Source organism: Homo sapiens, chromosome 7, assembly GCF_000001405.40.
Source record: "Homo sapiens chromosome 7, GRCh38.p14 Primary Assembly".
In the NCBI taxonomy this organism is placed as follows: Eukaryota; Metazoa; Chordata; class Mammalia; order Primates; family Hominidae; genus Homo; species Homo sapiens.
In genome coordinates this window covers 65,725,935-65,748,073 of record NC_000007.14, presented here as the reverse complement: position 1 = coordinate 65,748,073, position 22,139 = coordinate 65,725,935, and the positions used below count along the sequence as shown (strand labels likewise).

Genomic DNA, 22,139 nt, shown 5'->3' with positions numbered 1-22,139 from the left:
GCATATTCTGCACATGTATCTCTGAACTTAAAGCAAAAAAAAAAAAAAAAAAAGCCTGGTGTGGTGGCGCACACCTGTAATCCCAGCTACTTAGGTGGCTGAGGCAGAATTGCTTGAACCCGGTAGGCAGAGGTTGCAGTGAGCCAAAATCGCAGCACTGCACTCCTAGCCTGGGCGACAGAGTGAGACCCTGTCTCAAAATTAAAAATAAAAAGAATTTGTAAAAAACAGTAAGAAGAATTGCCATACTCTACACACAGATCCCCCAAATGTAAACATCATATTTAACCCCAGAATAAGAAATTAACATTGACGCATGATCCAATCTATAGATGGCTTTCAAATTTTGCTAATTATATCATGATCTATCTCTGGCCCAGGAGTCTATTTATCCAGAATTACGCTTCGCATTTAGTTGTCATGTCCTTCAGTCTGAAACAGTTCTGCAGTTTTTCAGTCTTTAATGATCTTGGCATTGCTTTTAGTACTGGCCAGTTATTTTACAGAATGTCCCTTACTTTAGGGTTATTTGATATTTCCTTATTTTTTTTTTTTTTTTTTTTTTTTTGTTGAGACAGAGTCTTGCTCCGTCGCGCAACCTGGAGTGCAGTGGCACGATCTCGGCTCACTGCAAGCTCCACCTCCTCGGTTCATGCCATTCTCCTGCCTCAGCCTCCTGAGTAGCTGGGACTACAGGCGCCCGCCACCACGCCCAGCTAATTTTTTTGTATTTTTTTTAGTAGAGACAGGGTTTCACCATGTTAGCCAGGATGGTCTGGATCTCCTGACCTCGTGATCTGCCCGCCTTGGCCTCCCAAAGTGCTGGGATTACAGGCTTGAGCCACCGTGCCTGGCCTCCTTATGATTTTTTAAAAAATTTTTTTGAGACAGAGTCTCGCCCTTTTGCCCAGGCTGGAGTGCAGTTGTGCGATCTCCGCTCACTGCAGCCTCCACCTCCCGGGTTCACGTGATTCTCCTGCCTCAGCCTCCAGAGTACCTGGGATTACAGGCACCTGCCACCATTCCTGGCTAATTTTTGTATTTTTAGTAGAGATGGGGTTTCACTATGTTGGCCAGACTGGTCTGGAACTACTGACCTCAGGTGATCCGCCTGCCTTGGCCTCCCAAAGTGCTGGGATTACAGGCATGAGCCGCTGCGCCTGGCCTCATGTTTCCTTATGTTTAAATGCAGGTTACGGCCGGTCACGGTGGCTCACGCCTGTAATCCCAGGACTTTGGGAAGGCCAAGGCAGGCGGATCACATGATCAAGAGATCGAGACCATCCTGGCAAACATGGTGAAACCCCATCTCTACTAAAAATAGAAAAAATTAGCTGGGCCTGATGGCACGTGCCTGTAATCCCAGCTACTCAGGAGGCTGAGGCAGAAGAATCACTTGAACCCAAGAGGTGGAGGTTGCAGTGAGCAAAGATCGCACCACTGCACTCCAGCCTGGGCAACAGACTGAGATTCTGTCTCAAAAAAAAAAAAAAATGCAGGTTATTCATATTTGGCAAGAACGCCAGAGAAATTATGTGTCATTTCAAGGCATCGTAGGAAGAGTCACATGATGTCAGCAGTTTTTCCCATTCCTGGTGATGTTAACTTTGTTCACTTGGTTAATGTTTGCTAGATTGCTCTACTATAAAGTTGTTATTTTTTCTTTGTATTTAATAAGCATCTTGTGGGAAAATATGTGACTGTTCTGTTTTTCATCATAACAGTGCCTACTAATTTAAGCATCCATCGATGATTTTTTTTTTTTTTTTTGAGGCAGCGTCTCACTCTGTTGCCCAGGCTGGAGTGCAGTAGTGCAATCACACAGCTTACTGCAGCCTCAACCTCCTGGGCTCAGCCTCCTATCTCAGCCTCCTGAGTAGCTGAGACTACAGGCTTGCATCACTATGCCTGGCTAATTTAAAACGTGTGTGTGTGTGTGTGTGTGTGTGTGTGTGTGTGTGTGTGTGTGTGTGTAGAGATGTCATGCTTTGTTGCCTGGGTGAGTTTCAAACTCCTGGGCTCAAGCAGTCCTCCTGCCTCAGCCTCCCAAATTGCTGGGGTTACAGGCTTGAGCCACTGTACCCAGCCCATCAATAATTTTTGCCTGAAACAATTTTTATTGCGATCTTTGTGTTGAGAGTCCTCCATGGATCTGTTGTGTGCTTACATGTCTTGCTGGGTGTGCCAAGAATGCAAGGCCCAAGAATGCTCTTTATTTGGGCCTTTTCTCAGGGTTGTTTACACAGCTGGTAATCTTCAGAGACAAGTTAATGTTTCCTCTTGGACAAAGAGCAGGCTTGCCCACTGCTTGGTATAAAAACAATAGATTTCAGCCAGGCGTAGTGGCTCATGTCTATAATCCCAGCACTTTGATTTTTTTTTTTTTTTTGAGATGGAATTTCGCTCTTATTGCCCAGGCTGGAGTGCAATGGTGCGATCTTGGCACACTGCAACCTCCGCCTCCTGGGTTCAAGTGATTCTCCTGCCTCAGCCTCCTGAGTAGTTGGGATTACAGGCATGCAGCACCACACCCGGCTAATTTTGTATTTTTTAGTAGAGACGGGGTTTCTCCATATTGGTCAGGCTGGTCTCAATCTCCCGACCTCAGGTGATCCGCCCGCCTCAGCCTCTCAAAGTGCTGAGATTACAGGCATGAGCCTTGATTTTTTTTTCTCTTTTCTTTTTTTGAGATGGATTCTCACTCTGTTACCCGGGCTGGAGTGCAGTGGTGCGATCTCGGCTCACTGTAACCTCCGCCTTCTAGGTTCAAGTGATTCTTCTGCATCAGCCTCCAGGCACACGCCACCATGCCTGGCTAATTTTTGTATTTTTGTAGAGACAGGGCTTTGCCATGTTGGCCAGGCTGGTCTCGAACTCTTGACCTCAGGTGATTTACCCTCCTTGACCTCCCAAAGTGCTGGGATTGCAAGTGTGAGCCACCGTGCCCAGCCATCCAGCACTTTGGAAGGCCAAGTCAAGGATCCTTTGAGGCAAGGATTTCAAGACCAGCCTAGGCAACATGGTGAGACCCCATCTCTACAAAAATAAAACAATAAAACACCGAGGTGGGCAGATCACCTGAGGTTGAGAGTTCAAGACCAGCCCGACCAACATGGAGAAACCCCATCTCTACTAAAAAAATACAAAATTAGCTGGGCATGATGGCGCATGCCTGTAATCCCAGCTACTCGGGAGGCTGAGGAAGGAGAATCGCTTGAACCTGGGAGGCAGAGGTTGCGGTGAGCCGAGATTGCGCCATTGCACTCCAGGCTGGGCAACAAGAGCAAAACTCTGTCTCAAAAAAATAATAAAAAATAAAAATAAAAAAATATATAATAAAACAACAACAACAAAAACAATAGATTCCCTGAGCTGAGTGTTCCTCAGCTGTGATCCAAACCCACCATCTTTGAGGCATCCATCTGGGCCACGTTGTGTTACCCCATGGAAGTTGGAGGGAAAGGGGAACTGATGCAAATATCCTGCTGCCTACGCTGCTTGCCATGCTGTAAGCAATAAAGTCCTTTGTCTCTGACCCAGGAGTCTTGTTTGTTTGTTTGTTTCTTTCTTTCTTTCTTTTCTTTCTCTTTCTTTCTTTCTTTCTTTTTCTTTCTTTCCTTTCTTTCTCTCTCTCTCTCTCCTTCCTTCCTTCCTTCTCTCTTTTTTTTTTTTGAGATGGAGTCTTGCTCTGTCGCCCAGGCTGGAGTGCAGTGGCGTGATCTCGGCTCACTGCAGCCTCCGTCTCCTGGGTTCAAGCGATTCTTCTGCCTCTGCCTCCTGAATAGCTGGGACCACAGGCGTGCACCACACACCCGGCTAATTTTTGTATTTTTAGTAGAGGTGGGTTTTCACCACGTTGGCCAGGATGGTCTCAATGTCCTGACCTCGTGATCTGCCCGCCTCAGACTCCCAAAGTCCTGGGATTACAGGTGTGAGCCACTGCGCCTGGCCAGCAGTCTTGTTTCTTTGGCCACATCCATAAAACAAGCAAGAGGCTAATTTATTAGTTTGTAAGTAGGGTAAAATCAAATTTCAGACCTGACAGTTTGCAAGTGGTAATTTTCCATTAATTTTTTATTTTATTTTATATATGTTTTTGAGATAGGGTCTCACTCTGGTTGCCCAGGCTGGAGTGCAGTGGCGCAACCACTGCTTACTGCAACCTTGACCTCCTGGGCTCAAGTGATCCACCATCGTGCCTGGCTGATTTTTTTTTTTTTGAGACAAGGTCTTGCTATGTTGCTCAGGCTGGTCTTGAACTCCTGGCCTGAAGCGATTCTCCCACTTTAGCCTACCAAACTGCTAGGATTACAGGAGTGAGGCACTGCACCTGGCCAATTTTCTGTTTTCATCATTCATTATACATTTATTGGTTGGAATTCTACTGTAAAGGAGAACTTTCCCTTCTCCTCTATGAATGAGTGAATGAATGAATTTGTATCATTATGGATTCAAGAATTCTTTTTTTTTTTTTTTGAGACAGAGTTTCACTCTTGTTGCCCAGGCTGGAGTGCAATGAAGCTATCTCAGCTCACCACAACCTCAACTTTTGGATTCAAGCGATTCTCCTGCCTCAGCCTCCTGAGTAGCTGGGGTTACAGGCATGCGCCACCATGCCTAATTTTTTATTGTTGGTGGAGATGGGGTTTCTCCATGTTGGTCAGGCTGGTCTCGAACTCCCAACCTCAGGTGATCTGCCTACCTCAGCCTCCCAAAGTGCTGGGATTATAAGCATGAGCCACCGCACCTGGCCTTTTATTTTTATTTTTTGACATGGAGTCTCACTGTGTCACCTAGGCTAAATAAAGTGCAGTGCACAATCATTAGCTCACTGCAGCCTTGAAATCCTGGGCTCAAGTGATCCTCTCACCTCAGCCTCCCAAGTAGCTAGCCTCAAGTGATCCTCCTGCCTCAGCCTCTCAAAGTGCTGGGATTACAGATGTGAGCCACCGTGACTGACCTATTATCTGATTTTAGCCAACAATGTTGTTTTTCTTAATATTCTTTCACTGTTAATTAAATGTGATTTAAGTAATATCTTTTAACTCTCAGTTGTTATAGATGAAACAGCCAGCAAAAACTCACCCTACTTCACTTCTTCCATAATCTTTGTCCTCCTAAATTTTCTATTGCATCATTTCTATATTGTCGAGTAGATAACATTTACGTTCTGTTTTTTCTCCCCCAAACCTGGGTTTGTTTAAGTCTTAGTTTTGCAGTTATATACACTCAATGCTCCTGCTTGTCCCTTTGCTGAAGTTCCCTTTGCCATACATTGGTGGGTAAAGTTTATTCGTTAACAGTTTCCTCAAGAAAAATATTCCCATGGGAGGCTGGGCGCGGTGGCTCACACCTGTTAATCCCAGCACTTTGGGAGGCTGAGGCAGGCGAATCACCTGAGGTTGCGAGTTGGAGACCAGCCTGACCAACATGGAGAAACCCCATCTCTACTAAAAGTACAAAATTAGCTGGGTGTGGTGGCACATGCCTGTAATCCCAGCTACTCAGGAGGCTGAGGCAGGAGAATCGCTTGAACCTGAGAGGCAGAAGTTTGTGGTGAGCTGAGATGGCGCCACTGCACTCCAGCCTGGGCAACAGGAGTGAAACTCAATCTCAAAAAAAAAAAAAAAAAAAAAGAAAAATATTCCCATGGGCAAAATATACCCAGAATTCCTATATGTTCAAAACTATCGTTTGTAGCCTTTCTGTGTGAATAATGGCTTGGCTTGTTTTAAAACAAAAAATCACTGGCTCATACTTTATTCATTTGTTTTTTTGAGACAAGGTCTTGCTCTGTTGCACAGACTGAAGTGCAGTGGCATGACTACAGCTCACTGCAGCTTCCACCCCTGGGGCCCAAGCCGTCCTCCCACCTTAGCCTCCCAACATGTGTGCGCCACCAAGCCCAGCGAATTTTTTTTTTTGTAGACACAGGGTTGGGGTGGGGAGGGAGGAGTCTCATGTTGCCCAGGCTGGTCTCAAACTCCTGACCTCAAGTGATCCTCCTACTTTGGCTTCCCAAAGTGCTAGGATTACAGGCATGAGGCACCATGCCCAGCCTATATATCTTTAAATATTTATTTATTTATTTTTAGAGATGGGGGTCTTACTCTGTTGCTGAAGCTAGCCTTGAACTCCTGGCCTCACGTGATTCTCCTACCTCAGCCTACCCAGTAGCTGGGACTACAGGTTCAAGTCACTACACCCAGTTAAATACTTATTTGTTCTGATGTTTGGTTATCTTCTTTGGAAATTTCAGTTGTGCATATGTTGGCTCTCTTTGGTCTGTTTTGTATAGCTATCTTTTTTTTTCTTTTTTTTTTTTTTGAGACAGAGTCTTGCTCTGTTGCCCAGGCTGGAATGCAGTGGTGCCATCTCAGCTCACTGCAACCTCTGCCTCCTGAGTTCAAGCGATTCTCATGCCTCAGCCTCCCAAGTAGCTGGGATTACAGGCTTGTACCAACTCGCCTGGCTAATTTTTGTATTTTTAGTAGAGACAGGGTTTCATCATGTTGGCCAGGCTGGTCTTGAACTCCTGACCTCAGGTGATCTGCCTACCTTGGCCTCCCAAAGTACTGGGATAACAAGTATGAGCCACCGCACCTGGCCAGCTGTCATTTTTTCTCTAATTTCATTTAATTCCTTTTGTTTATACTGTTTGCTTTTCTCATTTTTATCCTCCATATTGGTTAATATATTTTTCATAGTGTCCACTTTTATTTTTGCCCTTTTTAGTTTCATATTCACTTCTGTGATGGTTATTTTACCTATTTGTTGGAGATGGCATCTCAATATGTTTCCTAGGCTGGATTTGAACTCCTGAGCTCAAGTGATCCTCTTGCCTCAGCCTCCTGAGTAGTTGGCATTATAGGCATGTGCCAACATGCCCAGCATGATAGTTATGTTTTTCCCTTCTACTTCCTTTTGATTTTTTTTTCTTTTTTTGAGACAGGGTCCCACTCCATTGCCCAAGCTGAAGTTCAGTGGCACGAACATGTTTCACTGCAGCCTCAACCTCCTGGGCTCAAGCTGTCCTGCCTCAGCCTCCCGTGTAGCTGGGACCACAAGCACTCGCCATCACACCTGGATAATTTTTTGATGTTTCATGGAGACAGTGCTTCACTTTGTTGCCTATGCTGGTCTTGAACTCCTGGCCTCAAGCAATCCTTCTGCTTTGGCCTTCCAGAGTGCTGAAATTACAGGTTTGAGTCACTGTGCCCGGCTTCCTTCTGCTTCTTTCCTGGATTTTGTCAGTTTTGTCTCTTCTCCTTGTCTTATTTTGTCATCTTTTCCATGAATTCCTGTATTTGTATTTTTGTTTGTCTTCCATGGAAAGAATTCATTTTTTTTTTCCAAACAGATCTTTTTGAATCTTGGCTCACTGCAACCTCAGCCTCCTGAGTTCAAGCAATTCTCCTGCCTCAGCCTCCCTAGTAGCTGGGATTACAGGTGTGGGACACCACACCCGGCTAATTTTTCTATTTTTACTAGAGACAGGGTTTTGCCATGTTGCCCCAGCTGGTCTCCAACTTCTGGCCTCAAGTGATCCGCCCACCTTGGCCTCCCAAAGTGCTGGGATTACAGGTGTGAGCCACTGTGCCCAGTGCACTCACATGTTTCTGATGTCTCTCCATGTCCAAATTTTCTCTTCTTACAAGGACACAGGTCAGATTAGATTAGGGCTCACTTTAGAGACCTCATTTTAACATAATCACCTCTTTAAAGACCTTGTCTCTGTGCCAGGTGAGGTGGCTCACATCTGTAATCCAGCACTTTGGGACACTGAGGTGGGCAGATCATGAGGTCAAGAGATCAAGACCATCCTGGCCAACATGGTGAAAACCCGTCTCTACTAAAAATACAAAAATTAGCTGGACATGGCGGCGGGCGCCTGTAGTCCCAGCTACTCAGGAGGCTGAGGCAGGAGAATCGCTTGAACCCAGGAGGTGGAGGTTGCAATGAGCTGAGATCACACCACTGCACTCCATCCTGGCAACAGAGTGAGACTTGGTCTCAAACAAACAAACAAACAAACAAAAACCTTGTCTCCAAATATAGTCACATTCTGAGGTATTGGGGGTTAAGACTTCAAGATATGGACTTTGGGGGAACACAGTTCATTCAGCCCATAGCAAAGGTGTCCCTTCCTTTTTTCTTTAATTCATTATAGAATGAGTTGTATTTTCCTGGACCGATCATTTGCAAGGGTCTTCTCTGAAGGAAAGACAAGAGGGACCAGGGTAGTTTTACAAGCTTCTCAATGCAAACGAAGGTTTTCAGCTGCCACAGTCAGACTGTGTCATTCAATGTGGCTCTTGGTAGTTTTTGTGTAGTTCTGCCTCCTTTGCTGTGTACTATTTTTTGTTTTGTTTTATTTTTGTTATTTTTTCTTTGCACTGTTCTAAACTGGCCCTGTAGGGCTTCGCCTCCCAGTCCAGTACTCCCTAGCATCACCACCAATCACTGCACATAGGGCACACAGCCCCTGTGTTTCTGGTGAGCTCTTCATCTACCTTTTTTTTTTTTTTGAGACAGTCTCTCTGTTGCCCAGGCTGAAGTGCAGTGGCACGATCTCAGCTCACTGCAACCTCCACCTCCAGGGTTCAAGGGATTCTTGTGCCTCAGCCTCCCGAGTAGCTGGGATTACAGTCGTGAGCCAGCATGTCTAGCCTTTTTTGGTATTTTTTTGCAGAGATGGGGTTTTGCTATGCCACCCAGGCTGGTCTCAAATTCCTGGACTCAAGCAATCCACCTGCCTTGGCCTCCCAAAGTGCTGGGATTACAGGCGCGACTGGCTGTCTCTCTCTCTCTCTCTCTCTCTCTCTCTCTCTCTCTCTCTCTCAAGTGATAGAGTCTTAGGGCCAGGCACAGTGGCTCACGCCTGTAATACCAGCACTTTGGGAGGCCAAGATGGGCAGATGATGAAGTCAGGAGTTCAAGACCAGCCTGACCAGCATGATGAAACCCCGTCTCTACTACAAATACAAAAATTAGCTGGGCTTGGTGGTGTGCACCTGTAATCCCAGCTACTCAGGAGGCTGAGGCAGGAAAATTGCTTGAACCTGGGAGGCTGAGGTTGCAGTAAGCCGAGATCGTGCCACTGCGCTCCAGTCTGGGCCACAGAGTAAGACTCTATCTCAAAAAAAAAAAAAAAGATTCTTGTTATGATGACCAGGCTCGTCTCAAATTCCTAGGCTCAAGCAATCCTCTTGCCTTAGCCTCCCAAAGTGGTTGGATTATAGGCATGAGCTACCGTGCTGGCCAAAATAGAATGTTAGTGACACACCCTACATTGAATTTACTTGGAAGGCTGATTCTTTTCCCATGCCCTCCCTAGGAGAGTGAGCTGGGTGTTAGGACCTTAACTCTGCCCATAAGATGCTCAGGCCAGGAGAGATGCCCTTCACCCCTTGGATTACAAGGGTTTCAACTCCCTTTCTGCTTGTTTGAGCCTTGCCCTCAGTTCTTTTTATCCCTGCTCTGCTGTGCTTGTTTCAAACAACACATTTTTGGACTGTGGCATGAACGGCTCATCTTCAGAGAGTCTGTTTTAGTTGTGTTTCCTAGGATCTGCATCTGCCTCTTCGCGTGTAACTTTGGTAGCCCTTGTGCAGGTCTTGGAGTCTCCAGTGACTTTTTGTCTTCTAGTTTTGCTGAATATGGGATTTCTGCCTCATTCCCCCCCACTATGTCTCCCTATCACTTTGCATAATTTCTAGGAGGAGGAAGGGGAAGATTCGGTCAAATATTGCTGCAGTTCTTATACTATAATCATATTGCTTTGTAATATAAATTTCCCCCACTTTTTCCATTATAAAGATAGCTGTAGGCCAGATGTGGTGGCTCATGTCTATAATCCCAGCGCTTGAACCCGGAAGGTGGAGATTGCAGTGAGTTGAGATTGCACCACTGCACTCCAGCCTGGACGGCGACAGAGCCACGCACTGTCTCAAAAACATAAAAATAAATAAATAAATGAATGTTTCATCTTTTATATAGCTGTATAGACATAGATGTATAACCATATACCATACCTGGATATAGACACACGTAGAGATTTATTTGTTCAAAAATGGGGGCTCACATTATATATATGTTCTGCAACTTCCTTTATTCATGTGACATATCATGGGCATATTTCCATGGTGTGACTTATTTTGAATGCTAATGTTTATATTAAATCACATTTCAAACTGTGTTCTTTTAAGACATTCATGCTATTTTAATGTATTGGTATTATTTGTTTATTTATTTATTTTGAGATGGAATCTTTCTCCGTCACCAGGCTGGAGTGCAGTAGCGCGATCTCGGCTCACTGCAACCTCCACCTCCTGGGTTCAAGCGATTCCCCTGCCTCAGCCTCCCAAGTAGCTGGGACTACAGGTGTGGACCACCATGCCCAGCTACTTTTTTGTATTTTAGTAGAGATGGGGTTTCACCATGTTGGCCAGGATGGTCTCGATCTCCTGACATCGTGATCTGCCTGCCCCGGCCTCCCAAAGTGCTGGGATTACAGGTGTGAACCACCGTGCCCAGGCAGCAATGTATTGCTATTTAACATATTGATATGAAATATTAAATTTGTTAGCAAATATTTTATACACACAGATACAAAAAGCATCTGTACACCTACTATCCTACTTAAAGGAACATTATTACTATAATGCCATTGATTAACTCTACATACCTTTTCTCAATCTCATTTCCTTTCTTACTTTCAGAAGTAACTACTCTCCTGCAGTTTATGTTGTAAGTTATCATTTATGACATTAAATGATATTCTCTTTTTAAAGTTTCCAATGGCTATTGGAGTATCACAGTAATCACAGTAACTGAGAATGTTCACAGTATTGCTGTAAAAATTCTTATATATGTGGCTCCTCCAATCATACAACTTTCTTTTTTTTTTTTTTGAGACAGAGTTTCACTCTTGTTGCCCAGGCTGGAGTGCAATGGCGTGATCCCAGGTCACCGCAACCTCTGCCTCCCGGGTTCAAGCGATTCTCCTGCCTCAGCTTCCCCAGTAGCTGGGATTACAGGCATGCATCAATACGCCTGGCTAATTTTGTATTTTTAGTAGAGACGGGGTTTCTCCATGTTGGTCAGGCTGGTCTTGAACTCCCGGCCTCAGGTGATCCGCCTGCCTCAGCCTCCCAAAGTGCTGGGATTACATGCATGAGCCACTGCGTGCCTGGCCTCTTTTTTTTTTTTTTTTTTTTTTTTTAGACAGAGTCTCACTCTGCCACCCAGGCTGGAGTGCAGTGGCGTGATCTTAGTGCAGCCTTAACCTCCAGGCTCAAGCCATCCTCCCAACTCAGCCAAGTAGCTGGGACTTGAGGTGTGTGCCACCACGTCCCACTAATGTTGTTTATTTTTTGTAGCGATTAGGTCTCAATATGTTGCCCAGGGTGGTCTTGAAATCCTGGGCTCAAGCGATCCTCCCACCTAGGCCTCCCAAAGTGGTGGGATTAGAAGCATGATCCACCACACCCAGCCTACTCATGAAAGTTTCTCCTGAGTGTCTCCCTCAGGTGGAATTGCTGGGTTGTATAAATTGCGTGTGTTTAGTGTTACTAACACCATATTGTTTTCCGGAGTGTTCGTTCCAATTTACTATACTTTAGAAGGCCATTATCAGTGAATAACTTTTTAAAAAGGAGTACATGATTCTAACACAATTAGCCATTAGAAAATTTGTGGCTGGGCACGGTGGCTCACTCCTGTCATCCCAGCACTTTGGGAGACTGAGGTGAGCAGATCACCTGAGGCCAGGGGTTTGAGACCAGCCCGTCCTACCTGGTGAAACCCCCGTCTCTACTAAAAACACAAAAATTAGCTGGGCATGGTGGTGCCTGCCTGTAATCCCAGTTACTTGGGAGATTGAGGCAGGAGAATCACTTGAACCCAGGAGGCAGAGGTTGCAGTCAGCCGAGATCACGCCACTGCACTCCAGCCTGGGCAACACAGAGAGACTCCGTCTAAAAAAAAAAAAAAAAGAAAAAGAAAAATTAAAAGAAAATTTGTTAGCTTAAAAAATGTGATCTGTAGAAAACCTTTCAGAGCCGGGTAAGGCGGATCACACTTGGGCTTGAGCCCAGGAGTTGGAGACCAGTCTTGGCAACATAATGAGACCCAGGCTCTACTAAACATAAAAAACCAGCCTGGCATGGTGGCACACACCTGTGGTCCCAGCTACTTAGATGGCTGAGGCAGGAAGATTGCTTGAGCCCAGCAGTTCGAAGCTTCAGGAACAGTAGTATGACGTGCATTACTTTTGACTAACCAATTGTGATTAAAAACTTTGCAAAATAAATTGCTAATATTTTTATTATGGCTTCATTTTGCTGTATTGTATTTGGTTCACATGTGCTATTATTCCAGTAAGAACAGCAATTAAACTTTTTTTGTTTTTTTTTTTAGAGAATCTGGCTCTGTCACCCAGGCTGGAGTGCAGTGGCGCAATCTCGGTTCACTGCAACCTCTGCCTCCTGGGTTCAAGTGATTCTCCTGCCTCAGCCTCCTGAGTAGCTGGGATTACAGGCGCCCGCCACCAGGCTCGGCTACTTTTTGTATTTTTAGTAGAGACAGGGTTTTGCCATGTTGGCCAGGCTGGCCTCGAACTCCTGACCTCAGGTGATCCTCCCACCTCGGACTCCCAAAGTTCTGGGATTACAGGCGTGAGCCACTCCGCCCAGCCTAATGAAGCATATTTTAATCTGTTTCATAGTTTTGCCTTGTCTGGCAAGATTACCTCCTGGTTGTTACACTATATGTGACCACTCATTAGTGTCTTCTAGGCAACTATATATATATATTTTTAATGTGATATGCTTTAGCAAAACAGCGTCTACAATACTGCCATCTCATGCCCACAAGTATTAATACAGGTGTGAGTGTGAGGTGGATTCCAGGACCATGAAGAGGTAACAGATTTTATTTTAATTAATTAACTAATTAATTTTTTGGAGGCAAGGGCTCGCTTTTTTACCCAGGCTGGAGTACAGTGGCATGATGACGGCTCACTGTAACCTGGAACTCCTGGGCTCAAATGATCCTCCTGCCTCAGCTTCCCAAGTAGCTAGGACTATAGGTATGCACCACCACACCCAGCAAGATTTTGGTAAATATAAATATTTTATCTGAAATCTATTTAATATTAAACATTTATGAAATACAAATAATAGGTAACTCTTCTAGCCATCCACATTTACATACTTGAGTTTCTTTTCCCCTCAAAACAACTTCTCAGTTACAACTTACACTTAGATACAAACATTTGGTGTTTAACATTTTGTTTCCTTTATTATGCTTTTAAAAAAACTACTTCAGGCTGGGCACAGTGGCTCATGCCTGTAATCCCAGAGCTTTGGGAAGCTGAGGTGGGCAGATCACTTGAAGTCAGGAGTTTGAGACCAGCCTGGCCAACATGGTGAAACCCCATCTCTACTAAAAATACAAAAATTAGCCAGGCATGGGTGTACGTCTGTAATCCCAGCTACTTGGGTGGCTGAGGCAGAAGAATTGCTTGAACCTGGGAGGCAGAGGTTGCAAGATTGCTCCACTGCACTCCAGCCTGGGTGACAGAGAACAAAAGCAAAATATATACAGGTTCTTGACTAGATTGTTATTTCAGACCCCTATTAGGAACCCCACCATGAATTGTATAATTTTTTAATCTCATTATTTCAAAATATCAGAATTCATCCTCTGAATCCTTTATCAGAACCACTTCCCACAGACTTGGTGTTATGGTAAACTGAGGAACAGAGATACTGATATGGGAACACAGGAAGATATTCATTTTAAGGTAAGCACTGGCTCAGTGGATTCACATCTAAAAAGCTGAGCCTAGAACAAAGACAGAGGTGGGGGGTTTATAAGCAGGCTTACAAAAGCAAAACAAAGGCAGTTAATCATATAGTGCATAACTTGTGGCCTTGCATAGCTGGTGGCCTTGTAGCTGCATCGAAAGAAAAACAAGAACTGGCTAAATACAGACATTTGTAAAACACAGTCACGCTTAAGAGGCTAGGGAAAGGAGTGGCTGGGCACAGTGGCTCACACCTGTAATCCCAGCACTTTGGGAGGCCGAGGCAGTGGATCGCTTGAGGTCAGGAGTTCCAGACCAGTCCAGCCAATGATGACACCCTGTTTCTACTAAAAAAGTACAAAAAAAATAGCCGGGCATGGTGGCACATGCCTGTAATCCCAGCTACTTGGGAGGCTGAGGCAGGAGAATCGCTTGGACCCGGGAGGCGGAGGTTGCAGTGAGCCAAGATCATCCCATTCATTGCACTCCAGCCTGGGCAACAGAGTGAGACTCTGTCTCAAAAAAAAACAAAAACAAAAACAAAAAACAAAAAAAAGCTAGAGAAAGGAGAGTAACAGTAAAGTAATTTGTCTTTCTCCTTTTTTTTTCTTTCAACCTTGCTCTGGAAGAGGGAGAGGTGTCTGGAGCCTGTTCCTTTGGTCTTGGCTTTTCGGACAGCGTTATTTTATAACTGTCCTTTAAGTGAGCTGCTAAGCAGAGGAAAACTTGTTTCTTTTCCTTTTAACCTTTGCCTTGCCTGCTACTTTTCTTGAAGTGAATGAATGCATATTTATTTTTAAATTTTCTGCCTCACTGGCAGATATTAAACTGGATGTCCCCAAAAACTTGCAACCATTTTCTTACTAATAAAATCTGGAAATATTATTTATTTAGTTTTATAATAAAGACAGGGCCTTACTTTGTTGCCCAGGCTGGTCTCAAATTCCTAGGCTCAAGCAATCCTCCTGCCTTGGTCTCCCAAAGTGCTGGGATTACAGGCGGGAGCACCGAGCCTGGCCTCAAAATCTGGAAGTATTGAATATAGGGCACATCCAATCCAAGAGCATCAGGCCTCTTGTTACCGGATAGAATTGTGTTTTGGTGACTAGGCACAGTGGCTCATGCCTGTAATCCCAGCAGTTTGGGAGGCCAAGGTGGCCAGATCACTTGAGGTCAGGAGTTCGAGACCAGCCTGGCCAACATGGTGAAACGCTGTCTCTACTAAAAATACAAAAATTAGCTGAGCGTGGTGGCATGCACTTGTAATCCCAGCTACTAGGGAGGCTGAGGCAGGAGAATCACTTGAACCCAGGAGGCGGAGGTTGCAGTGAGCACCACTGCACTTCAGCCTGGGTGACAGAGGGAGACTCGGTCTCAAAAAAAAAAAAAAAAAAGGATTGTGTTTTGGTGGGGAGGGTCCTGTAGCTAAGGGCAGGGATGCTGTGACCATGTGTCCTGCCCCAGGGATTGCATCCTCTGTGTGGGTGAGCAACTTAGAGTGAGCCTGGAGTGCAGACTGTCAGCCTCTGAGGTTTCAGGTTGTGTTTTAGAGTGGACCTTGATGCCCAGCTCCACCCAGCTAACGCCAGTGGTAAATGTTTGGGGGAAACACCTCTTATTTGTTGTAGTTAACATACAAGGAGCTGGGCAAGTGACACATGGGATAAATTTTTTTTTTTTTTTGAGAGGGAGTCTTACTCTGTTGCCCAGGCTGTAGTGCAGTGGCATGATCTTGGCTCACTGCAACCTCCTCTTCCCAGGTTCAAGCAATTCTCCTGCCTTGGCATCCCAAGTAGCTAGGACTACAGGCATGCGCCACCATGCCCCGCTAATTTTTGCATTTTTGTTAGAGACGGAGTTTTGCCATGTTGTCCAGGCTGGTCTGAAACTCCTGACCTCAGGTATCCACCTGTGTCGGTCTCCCAAAGTGCTGGGATTACAGGCTTGAGCCACTGCGCCGGGCCAGAAATTTTTGAAACAGAAAGAAATAGGCTGGGCGCAGTAGCTCACACCTGTAATCCCAACACTTTGGGAGGCTGAGGAGGGAGGATCGCTTCAGCCCATGAGTTCGAGCACAGCCTGGGAAACACAGTGAGAACCCCCCCCCCCCAATCTCTATTTAAAAACATAATAAAAATTAAAAATAGGCCAAATAGGTCAAACCTGGATTTCAAAAGAGGACCCCCACGGGGATTTCATTAATTGCAGAATCAGTGCCGCGGTCCCTTGCTTCCCTCACCTACTCTTATCCCAAGTGGCGGTGGCGGCAGCGCAGAGCAGCTTCTGAAGGTCCAGGAGCTCTTTTGTTCCTCCTCTGCAAAGCAAAGGTGCCACAGGGCGCGGCTTTCCGAGAAAGCGTACTCCGCACGGTGCACCTCTCCGTCTGCAGGCGCTGAGCCCCCGGAGGAGGAGGGGGCAGGCTCGCGGAGCCCCTACCCTGGGGCGGGGCCAAGGCGTCCTCCCAGCCCGGCTTTGCAGAGCAGAGATCTGGTGTCTCCAGTTTACGGAGGCACTTTCAGAACTGATCAGAAGCCACCCCGCTTATCAGCAGATCTCAGGAGAGTGTTCAGTGGAGGCCCTGCCGGTCTGCACAGCTCACCTCCCTGGGAACTGCTCGCCTGAGCGTCGGAGCCGGCCCTGGCCCCCTGCAGCCAGAAAGTTGCAGCCGCAGGAGCCCCGGAGGCCCAGGACGCAGGGTAAGTCCCTGCCTTGTGCCTTCCCTGTGCCCAACTTTCTGATTTCGCCGACTTTCCTTTTCCTCTTCCAGGCTTCCTGTCTGAGTCTACATTTATTCTGCTTAGTCGCATAGGCAGATCATTTCCTAGAATCTCCAGGCTTTCTTTTCATTGATTTATTTTTTGGGGTAGCTTCACTGTCTAATCTCTCAGCAGCTGCCTGTTTCCAAACAGCATGAATGAATGATGCAGTCCTGCGCAGGAGCACTCTCAGTGCAAAATTGGGGCCATCCCAAACTCAGAGTTGAAGTGTCCGACTTTGTCGTCTCCTTTCCCATTAGAATTAGAATTAGAATTTTAAAATAAGTACTTACCAGGTACATTGTTAATAACGATACAACTTCAAGTTGGGAATTAAGTTAATCATGCTTTCATTCATTAAATGTATTTACTATCTTTTTCTTTTTTTCTCTTCTTTTCTTTTCTTTCTTTTCTGAGACCGTCTCATTCTGTCGCCCAGGCTGAAGTGCAGTGGCGCGATCTTGGCTCACTGCAACCTCCCTCTACGGGGTTCAAGGGATTCTCCTGCCTCAGCCTCCCGAGTAGCTGGACGCATGCCATCATGCCCAGCTAATTTTTATATTTGTAGTAGAGACAGGGTTTCACCATGTTAGCCAGGTTTGTCTCAAACTCCTGGCCTCAAGCGATCCACCGCCTCAGCCTCCCAAAGTGCTGGGATTACAGGCATGAGCCACTGTACCTGGCCACTATATTTTCTTTACGTATGTTTGCATATTATTACTTTTTAAATATTTGATGACTGATATTGGAATGAGAATCAGGGAGGAAAATAATAAAATCCAATATTCCTGTATTACAGTGCCAGGTAGGTTTTCAATATCATGACCATAGTCCTGTCACTTTCATGTCGGTGAAACAAAGTAATCAGGACTTTTTAAAATTTTCAGATGATTTAATATATGCCTGATACCTACCTTCCTTCTTTTCTTTTTTGTTTTAAGAGACAGGGTCTCACTTGGTCACCCAGGCTGGAGTGCAGTGGTGCAATCATAGCTTATTGCAGTCGCAAACTCCTGAGCTCAAGTGATCCTCCCCTCAGCCTCCCAAGTAGCTGGGACTACAAGTATGCACCACCATGCCTGGCTCATTTATTTTATTTTTTGTACAGATGACGTCTCACTATGTTGCCCAGGCTGGTCTCAAACACCTGGGCTCAATCAATCCTCTCACCTCGGCCTCCCAAAGTACTGGGATTACAGGGGTGAGCCCCCATGCCCGGCCTTGTTTTATTTTATTTTTAAGAAAATACTTGGACTAGCTGGGCATGGTGGTTCACACCTGTAATCCCAGCACTTTGGGAGGCTGAGGCGAGCAGATCACCTGAGGTCAGGAGTTCAAGACCAGCCTGGCCAGCATGGTGAAACCCTGTCTACTAAAAATACAAAAAATTAGCTGGGCATGGTGGTGTGTGCCTATAATGCCAGCTCTCAGGAGGCTGAGGCAGGTGAATTGCTTGAACCTGGGAGGTGGAAATTGCAGTGAGCTAAGATCGCGCCACTGCACTCCAGCCTGGGCGACAAGAGTGAGACTCCATCTCAGGAAAAAAAAAAGAAAAAAAGAAAAAAAAAGAAAATATTTGGGCTAGAATTAGGGTGGAAGGGATCCTCAAGTTTGCCTAGACCAGCCTCTTATCAGAGACTTTTTTAAAGCCAGTGTTTTATTGCTATATAATTAAATGTAATAAAATACACTCTTTAAGTGTGCATTTTGATGAATTTTGACAAATTTATTCATACTTGTAATCATCACAATAACATTTCCATCACCCAGAAGGTTCCTAGGGCCTCTTTCCAGTCAGCCCCGTCCCAACCCCCAGCCCTACTGATCTGATCTTTGTTGTTAGGGCATTTGTATTTTCTAGTGTTTCATATAACTGAAACAGTATGTGCTCTTGTGTCTGGCTTCTTTCCATCGGTATAATTTTTTTTTTTTGAGATGGAGTTTCGCTCCTGTTGCCCAGGCTGCAGTGCAGTAGCGCAATCTCAGCTCACTGCAACATCTGCCTTCCGGGTTCAAGTGATTCTCCTGCCTCAGCTTCCTGAGTAGCTGGGATTACAAGCATGCGCCACCATGCCCAGATAATTTTGTATTTTTAGTAGAGACAGGGTTTCACCATGTTGGTTGGGCTGGTCACTGCTGACCTCAGGTAATCTGCCTGCCTTGGCCTCCCAAAGTGCTGGGATTACAGGTGTGAGCCACCGTGCCTGGCCTTCCATCGGTATAATTTTTTTTTTTTTTGAGACTGAGTCTTGCTCTGTCCCCCAGGCTGGAGTGCAGTGGCGCAATCTTGGCCCACTGCAACCTCTGCCCCCTGGGTTCAAGCGATTCGCCTGCCTCAGCCTCCTGAGTGGCTGGGACTACAGGCATGTGCCACCGTGCCCAGCTAATTTTTTGTATTTTTAGTAGAGACGGGGTTTCACCGTGTTAGCCAGGATGGTCTCAATCTCCTGATCTCGTGATCCACCTGCCTCAGCCTCCCAAAGTACTGGGATTACAGGCATGAGCCACCGCGCCCAGCCCTATTGGTATATTTTTTAAAATATTTATCCATGTTGTAGCATGTATCAGTAATTCATTTCTTTTTATTACTGAGTAGTGTTCCATCGTAGGGATATACCACAATTTGTTTAGCTATTTATCTGTTGGTGAATATTTGGGTTTTTTCTTGTGTTGGGCAGTCACAAATAAAGCTGCTATGAATATGTTTTCATTTCTCTTGGATAAAACTCCAAGACTGGGATTGCTGGGTGTCTTTTTAATTTTTATTTTTTGAGATGGAGTTTCACTCTTGCTGCCCAGGCTGGAGTGCAATGGCGCAATCTCGGCTCACCGCAACCTCTGCCTTCTGGGTTTAAGCAATTCTCCTGCCTCAGCCTCCCTAGTAGCTGGGATTACAGGCATGTGCCACCATGCCTGGAAATTTTGTATTTTTAGTAGAGACGGGGGTTTCACCATGTTGGCTAGGCTGGTTTTGAACTCCTGACCTCAGGTGATCCACCTGCCTCAGCCTCCCAAAGTGCTGGGATTACAGGCATGAGCCACCGCGCCCAGCCTTGGTGGGTCCTATGATAAGTATATGTTTAACTTTATAAGAAACTGCAGTCCCAGTGTGGTGGCTCACGGCTGTCATCTCAGCACTTTGGGAGGCCAGTGTGGGAGGATTCCTTGAGGCCATGAGTTCAATGTCAGCCTGGGCAACATAGCGAGACCCTGTTTCTACAAAAAATAAAAACTTAGCGGGGCATGGTGGTGTGCATCTGTAGTCCCCGCTACTCAGGAGGCTGAGGTAGGAGGATTGCTTAAGCCCAGGAGTTCTAGGCTGCAGTGGGCTATGATTGCACTGCTGCACTCCAGCCTGGGTGACAGAGCAAGACCCTGTCTCAGACATGCGCACACACACACACACACACACACACACACACACACACACACACACAAACTGTTGTCTTTGCTTCCTTGTAATTGGGCAGCAGATCCTTTCTCTGATTCATCTTGGAATGCTGTTGTCTCTGTCCCCTGTATTTATATATTTATTTATTTTTGAGATGGAGTCTCGCTCTATCACCCAGGCTGCAGAGCAGAGACACGATCTCGGCTCATTGCAAACTCCACCTCTGGCGTTCAAGTAATTCTCCTGCCTCAGCCTCCCGAGTAGCTGGGACCACAGGCATGTGCCACCACATCCGGTGAATTTTTTTTTCTTTTGAAACGGAGTGTCTCTCTATTGCCCAGGCTGGAGTGCAGTGGCGTGATCTGGGCTTACTGCAACATCTGCCCCCTGGGTTCAGCAATTCTCCTGCCTCAGCCTCCCAAATAGCTGGGCTTACAGGCACATGCTACTACCACTTGGCTAATATCTTTGTATTTTTAGTAGCGAGAGGGTTTCACCATGTTGGCCACGCTTGTCTCAGACTCCTGATCTCAAGTGATCCACCAGCCTTGGCCTCCCAGTGCTGGGATTACAGGCGTGAGGCACTGCGCCCGCCTGAGTCTGCTTCTGTGTCTATTCATTTAGTTCTCCCAAGAGATTCTCTTTCCCTCTCCCTCTGCCTCTCTCTTTTCTTTGTACTCTGCTAATCAGGTTTACATGATTTCCTATCAGACCTGAATCTTGCAGAATTGAAGCCACAGAAAAGAATATGCTGACTCTGCAGTGCTTGAAGGGGGTAAAACTAAAGCATTACCTAGAGGAAGCAGTCTTAGGAAATTTTGCCTCTGACTCGTTTTTGTGACAGTCCCACCAGGAGAGAGTGAAGCCAGTCTCCCTCTTTCCTGTTTTGTGTCTGGACTTCAATGTTCATTTCCTCATTCTCTCTTTCTAGGATCTTGCTCTTGCAGAATCTACAGGTCTTTCTTGAAGAAATCTGTAGTCATAATTTTGTGCTCCATTTTTATTTAGGGGAGGAACAGGAAGAGAAGAGTGTGGCCTCCTAGAAATCTAGCACGGAGAAAGGTAAGTCTGATTTGTCTTTTTTTGGTCTTGTTTTGTTTTTTTTGCTGTCATTGTAATTTTTTTTATGCATTCGACTATTATACGTTATACTGTTATATTATGTTGGCCAGACTGGTCTTGAACTCCTGACCTCGTGATACTCAGCCTCCCAAAGTGCTGGGATTACAGGAGTGAACCACCAAGCCCGGCTTGACCTCTTGGCTTTTACCAAAGGATGTTTGCTTCTGAGGAAGCTGGAAGCTGCAGCCACAATGTGCCTTTGCAGGGGAGCCTGAGAGCCACAGGTAAGGACAACTGAGTTAGACAGGAGGGATGGGGCCTAGGGGGAGGGCAGAGTGCATCACATTCCCCCACCCAGACCCACAGGCCACGGCATCACAGCCCCATGCAAGTCCCGACTCCTGTCTCTCTGATTGTGTGATTCCCAGTTATTCCCATTTCCCTAACAGATAAACCTCCCAATGGGTTCAATGCATACACTTTTATTAAATCTCACTCTGTCACCCAGGCTGGAGGGCAGTGGTGTGATCTCGGCTCACTGCAAGCTCCGCTTTACAGGTTCAAGCGATTCTCTTCAGCCTCCTGAGTAGCTGGGACTACAGGCATGCACCACCAGGCCTGGCTAATTTTTTTGTATTTTTAGCAGAAATAGGGTTTCACCATGTTGGTCAGGCTGATCATGAACTCCTGACCTCAAATGACCCACCTGCCTCGGCCTCCCAAAGTGCTGGGATCACCTGCCCACTCCCTTGGTGAGGAGCCCCCTAGGGCACCTCCACCTCCTGGAGCACAAATGTTGTTGAGATGAGCAGCTTGAGACATGGTATGGACCTATGCGGAGGTGTCCCTAGACAATGATGGCATCAGAGTGAGAGGCTGGATGAGGATGTGTCTGGGGGAGCTTCGAGGTGCTGTGATGTGTAAGAGATCATTAATTCCAGGATGCCACCCCAAGGAGAATATGCATGGACCAAAGATGAGGGGTCCCCAGGAGGGTGAACCAATAGTAAGGCCCCCAGATTCCATCCCTAGCCAGGCTCCCTGCTAAGTGGCAATTAGAAAAATTCCTCTTTACAGAAAACAGAGCATCAATTAGGTCCCCAATTACAGAGCCAGTCCT

General features: G+C 46.0%; 1 long non-coding RNA gene across 2 annotated transcripts in view; it reads left to right on the top strand.

Annotated features, from left to right (window-relative positions):
• LINC03006 (long intergenic non-protein coding RNA 3006) overlaps positions 1-22,139 on the top strand; it is a 123,801-nt gene that overhangs the window by 22,737 nt on the left and 78,925 nt on the right. The window contains exons 2-3 of one of the 2 annotated variants that reach the window (NR_103527.2): positions 20,966-21,019; positions 21,130-21,303. This is a non-coding gene — a long non-coding RNA (long intergenic non-protein coding RNA 3006). The remainder of the gene's footprint in view (positions 1-20,965; positions 21,020-21,129; positions 21,304-22,139) is intronic. The other variant, NR_038378.4, reaches the window with a different exon arrangement.